Here is a 6,000-nt window from a genome sequence, read left to right on the forward strand (position 1 = left end):
CATAAACTCTTTCCTTAGCTGGTCTAGAGAGAAAAATTAAATCATGTTCTATTTATTTCATTTTCACCTTTTTATGACACAAAATATAAGTGATAACACAAAAATCACCTACTGTTTTACTGTTATTGGAGGAAATGTAATATTTTTCATTCTTAATTTAAAATCAAAGCATTTGGAATTTATTAATGGAACACATTTTCTTTCCTTCCACTTCTAGCCTCTCTGTGTGATGACCTCCATCCCCACGGCTTCTTACTAGCTCTCATTAGGAGACTGGAGTCCTCACCCTTGCCCCATTGACACGAGCTTTAAGTGTTCCAGCTAGATAGGCCCTGGTCATTCAGAAAACAATTTGGTTTGGGAGGTGTTGAAAGAAATAACAGGAAAAGCAATTCTCTGCAGAGAGAATTTGGTTTATTTTTCTAAAAATACAGCGAACCCATCCACTCTTACCCTGGCAGATGCCTCCCCTGGTATAGAGAAATTTCTTCTTTCTTCCTCCTTCACATCATTGCACACCTGATTAAGTCAACCAGGGTAATTAAAATACAAAAGCAAAACAAAAAAACTCTGGGCAGTTGCTGAAGGTAGGCAGGGGGAGAGTGGATAGGTCTGCTATGTGAGCCACATCAATGACCAGGCTGGTCTTCCCAGTCGCCTTTCTTCTTCCTCCTTCCTTGGTGACTTTTGAAACAAAGAAAGGTGACCTTTGCATACCGGGCACTATGAGCTAGAGCCTCCTCTTCCAGCGGGCAGTCCGCTCAGAGGTCGAATTTAGCGTGTACTCAAAATGTGTGCTGAGTTGAGTTGTTGGGAGGTTTATTTACCCTTTGGAGTGTCGCTGCTGCTTCTTGGCCTGTTTAGTGAGTGACTTTGTGGTCTGGGGGAGCAGGGTCCAGCCTTTTGTTATCTCCTGATTCATGACTCATTTACCACATCTACTGTATGAGAGGTTGGTCTCATTCGCCCACCTACTGAGTCCCAGATTGCATATGTCAAGCAGGACACCTCTCCTTAACCCATCTGCTCTATGCTAAGCTTGAAAGACTAGGGGTGTACTGAGTAGCCTTTTCTTTCCTTAAAATAGCAGGGTGAGTCTTAAAAAAAACACCTCACAGGTGAGTTCCTAATTTCACTAAACTGCTGAGCACAGTGAGAAATGCTCCAGCTAGGCAGACAAGCTCTTGCCCTTTTTTCTGTAACTTACAAATTGTGTGGTTTTGCAAATCAGGCAACTTCTGCCATCAGGCAAATGTGCATTTGCAGAGCAAATTGTGGTTGGCTTTTTAGAGATGACTCAGGTATGCATTGGAGCTTGCTGCATGGAAATTCCTCATCAGGGGAAGCTTGTGGGAAATCTGGAGGTGATGTAAGGCCCCCTGGTAATTATAGTAGGAACTTTTAACTTCATCTGTTTCTGGGGTAATTTCCAAATGCTCAAACTTCTTTTGAATAATTGTAGGTCTCTTAATTCAAATCTTTTTTTTTTTTTTTGAGACAGGGTCTCACTCTGTCACCTAGGCTTAATGCAGTGGCTGGATCATGGCTGACTGCAGCCTCAACCTCCCAGGCTCAAAGGATCCTCCTGAGTAGCTGGGACTACAGGCACGTGCCATCACGCCCTGCTAGTTTTTTAGTTTTTGTAGAGAAGAGGTCTCACTGTGTTGCCGAGGCTGGCCTCAAACTCCTATACTCAAGTACTCCTAATTCAAGCATTTTTTTGAACAACCATCATGGACTTAGCACTGTGTACTAAGAGCAGTTCTATGTATTTGCATTATTTTTGTATCCACACTTAGCTAATTAGTGCTCACCCTGTACCAGGGAGTGTTCCAAGTACTTTACATATTTTAATTCTCTTAATTCTCACAATGTCTTTTATAGGGTAGATCTTTATAGATGACAAAACAGGTACAGAGAGGCCAAGAGAGTTGTAGGAAGTCATCATTAAGAAGGCTCCCAGGGATCCCTCCTCCTGGTGTCGCCCAATATGTAACACCTTTCCTGTGAATGAGGGCTGATCCTGCTTTAAGTGAACAGAATATGGTCAAAGTGATAGAATGTCACTTCTGAGATTAGGTTAAAAAAGACTATGAATTCTGTCTTACTGTCCCTCCGTTCCTCTCGCTTGCTGTCTTAGCTCGAGCTGCTATAATAAAATATCATAAACTGGGTGGTTTAAATAACAAACATTTATTTCTCACAGTTGTGGAGGACGGGGAGACCAAGGTCAAGGTGCCACAGGTGTCTAGCGATGGCTTGCTTCCTGGTTTGTAGATGGCAGCCTTCTCACTGTGTCCTTACGTAGCAGAGATAGGAAGGAAGCTCCCTCAGGACTCTTCTAAGGATACCAACCCTCTCCATGAGGGCTACACCCTTAGCACCTCCTGTAATCCTGATTACCTCCCAAAGACCCTGCCTGCTAATATCATCACATTAGGGAGTACAGTTTCAATATGTGAATTTTGAGGGGACACAAGTATTCAGTCTGTAACACTCTCTGAGCCCTCTCTGTGGATGAAGCCAGCTACCATGTTGGGAGTAGCTCTGCTAAACGGTCCACGTGGCAAGGAACTGATGTCTCTGGCCAACAGCTAGTGAGAACCCTGGGCTTGCCAACAGTGAGTGAGTTTGGAAGTGGATTCTCTCAGCCGAGCCTTGTGATGATTGCAACCCTGGCTCACAAGTGATTGTGCCTGTGACACCTTGAACTAGAGGACTCAGCTGAGTTGAACACAGAAACTGTGAGATAATGAATATGTGCTGTTTTTATTTTTATCTTTATTTTTAGAGATAGGGTCTTACTATGTTGCCCAGGCTGGAGTGCGGTGGCCATTCTCAGACACAATCATAGTGCATTACAGCCTGGAACTCCCAGGCTGAAGCAATCCTCCTGCCTCCGCCTCCCAAGTTGCTGGGACTACAGGTGTGTGCCACTGCACCTGGCTTCAGTGTTTGTTGTTTTAAGCCATGAAGTTTTGGGATCATTTGTTACTCAGCAATATATAACTAATACACCTGTCCCAGGTCACAAGGCTTATATGTAAAATGATTTTTTATTATAATGCTATTTAAATATAAGGAAACAAATATAGGAATATTATTTTTGTTATTTACAGCTATAGAAACAAAAAAATTGAACACCAACAAAACCAGAATTAATGTTCTTATTTCTTATTTTTATGTAAATCCATATTTTTCAGATGATAATTTGATGTGATAGAAGATGTGCGAAAATGAAATCATCATTTAGTTTGGAAACAACCTCAGTGTCCATCAATAAGAAAAAGAACTATGGAAAGCCATCCTATAAAACCCTCTGCAATTTAGAAAAGTTCTCCAAGACAATTTGTTACATGAAAAAAGCACACTGTGGCTGGGCACAGTGGCTCACGCCTGAAATCCCAGCACTTAGCGAGGCTGAAGCGGGCAGATCGCTTGAGGTCAGGAGTTTGAGACCAACCTGGCCAACATGGTGAAACCCTGTCTCTACTAAAATTACAAAAATCAGCTGGGCCTAGTGGTGGGCACTTGTAGTCCCAGCTACTTGGGAGGCTGAGGCAAGGAGAATCACTTGAAGCCAGGAGGCAGAAGTTGCAGTGAGCCTAGATTGTGCCACAGCACTCCAGCCTGGGCGACAGAGCGAGAGTCCGTCTCAAAAAACAAACAAACAAACAAAAAACACTGAAGCCAAAAAACCCAAAATGATTCCATTTCTGTAGAAAATACCGTGCAAGGCAAAATGACTATATGTTTACAAGGGCATAGAAAGGTCTGGAAGAAGACAGTGAACTGACGGCAGCAGCTGCCTCCAGGGAGGGGGAATGTGAATGGATATGCAGTATGGAAAACATACATACTTCCTATATTTCTGGAGTTTATTTCTTTTTTCTTCTCTTGTTCTTTTTTGTTTGTACAATGAGAATTTATTCATGTGTTTCGTGTGTTATTTTTTAAAAAGTGTGTTGTCCTTGCCTTTCTGGGGGTTATTTTAGTGAAGGATTTATTTAGCTGCAGGGTTGGTGCCAAAATGGGTGATAAAGACTAGCCAGCCAGAAAAGGTGGGCATTATACTGCTGAGAAAGGAACTAGGAGCTTCAGTCAGGTCTTTGGGTCTGAGAGGTGACTTGCTGAAATTAATATTAAATTTAAATTAATATTAAATATTAAATTTAAGAAGAGTAACCCAAAGGCAGTATGTGAGTATAACTTGGAGATCCCAGAAAGAAGGAAATAGGTTGGAGGATCTAGTGCTCCAAGAGGGGCTTCCTGGGTCGAGTAGAGATGAAGGTTATGAGCCAGGTTGTGGCCACTGGTCAGCTGGCTAAGTGCAAAGATTTATTCAGTCAATAGTGTCATATTTGGAGGCCATGGATAATATCAAGCCCAGGCTTGATTTTTGGAGAGATAGTAGCCTGGTAGGGGAATAACATTAATTATAAAACCCTTACACAATGCTCACTGGATATCAGACACTCTTTTTTTTTTCTTTTCTTTTTTTTTTTTTTTTTGAGATGGAGTTTCACTCTTGTTGCCCAGGCTGGAGTGCAATGGTGTGATCTAGGCTCACCACAACCTCCACCTCTCGAGTTCAAGCGATTCTCCTGCCTCAGCCTCCTGAGTAGCTGGGATTACAGGCATGAGCCACCATGCGCTGCTAATTTTTTATCTTTAGTAGAGACAGGGTTTCTCCATGTTGATCAGGCTGGTCTCAAACTCCTAACATCAGGTGATCCACCCACCTCGGCCTCCCAAAGTGCTGGGATTACAGGCGTGAGCCACTGTGCCCGGCCCCCAGACACTCTTTTAAGCACATGGCATTTAATCCTTATTAGAACGCTCTAAGGCATGTAGTCTATTAATCCCCTTTAAGCGATGAACAAACCTCCAAGAGGAGGTTTAATCCCTTGTCCTAGGTCACATGCTGATAAGTGACAGAAACATGATTTGGATCCAGGCTGTTTTAACTCCAGTGACTGTGCTCTTAACCATTTGGCTGTCCTGCCAGACATCATATGGAAAATCTAATACAGTGTGATACGTGTATTATGGAGATGGGAAAGGAGAGGAGGGTGAAGTTCAGCACTTCCTGGGCAAGTGTGAGGAAGACATCAAGAAAAAGCAAGAGTAGGAATGTGACAACCAAAGAAGAGGGTAAAGACTGCAGTCCAGAGAGAGGGCAGCGTATACCCGAAGGTACAGAGCTCCTGAAACTTTCCTACCTTGGGGAGTCTTCTGTCCTCTCTCCTCTAGGAACCATCCTTGGATCCCTGCTGGCCTCCTTTCTGAACCCGCTGTTGAGGCAGAGTTGCATATACAGCATTTCTCCTAGGACTGTTTGTTCTTAGATCTCTATCCCTTAGTGAGAAGTGAAGAAAGGCAGAGGGGAGAGAGTCCGGAATAATCTCCTTATTCTCCATCCCCACATCCCTAAGTCTGATCTGAGATTCCCCCAAAGAGCCTCGTCCACGCCAGCCTAACCCAACAGACAGTGTGGATCACTGAGAACCAGCAAAATTGACATAACCTTGAGGCCTCAAATAATACATTCCTTTCCTTTGACATCAGTTTTGTCAGATTAAAAATCCAATAACAGACTGTCATTGAGTCCAAGAAAAGAGATGGTAATAAAAGGGAGAATCTGACTCCATAATGGAAAGCAGGTGATTTTTAAAATTGGTTCCTCCAGCTGTCTATGCTACAGAAATTCCAAGAAAAAGTAGAAAAGCTGCTCCTTCCCCTTCTGTCTTCTCCGACTTGGTTGTGGCCCCGTTACTGCCCTGTTTGTCTTGCTTCGACTCCAGGAGGTGTCCTTATGTCTCCCTCCCTCCAGCTTAGCCAAATTCTGTGCGTCCTGCACACCTAGCTCACCACGCCATCCCTGCTGCCCCTGCCTTCACCAAGGGCCTACACAAGTCACCTAGGGACTCTGCCTTCCACCACCTCACCAGCCTCTCCCTCCTCCAGCCCCTGTTTCACTGTCTCCACAGCATAAACATA

The 6,000-nt window shown here is 43.6% G+C and overlaps 2 long non-coding RNA genes across 3 annotated transcripts in view; one reads left to right on the forward strand and one right to left on the reverse strand.

Annotated features, from left to right (window-relative positions):
• SIAH2-AS1 (SIAH2 and CLRN1 antisense RNA 1) overlaps positions 1 to 3,334 on the forward strand; it is a 6,739-nt gene extending 3,405 nt beyond the window's left edge. For both annotated transcript variants that reach the window (NR_187305.1, NR_187306.1), the window contains exon 3: positions 3,204 to 3,334. This is a non-coding gene — a long non-coding RNA (SIAH2 and CLRN1 antisense RNA 1). The remainder of the gene's footprint in view (positions 1 to 3,203) is intronic.
• Positions 2,175 to 5,290, reverse strand: LOC124909447 (uncharacterized). Its single transcript, XR_007096132.1, has 2 exons — positions 5,223 to 5,290; positions 2,175 to 2,299 (listed from the first exon to the last, which is right to left on the reverse strand). It is a non-coding gene; the product is annotated as an uncharacterized LOC124909447 (long non-coding RNA).
• Positions 5,291 to 6,000: the final 710 nt, after the last annotated feature.

This window comes from Homo sapiens, chromosome 3 (assembly GCF_000001405.40).
Source record: "Homo sapiens chromosome 3, GRCh38.p14 Primary Assembly".
Classification (NCBI taxonomy): Eukaryota; Metazoa; Chordata; class Mammalia; order Primates; family Hominidae; genus Homo; species Homo sapiens.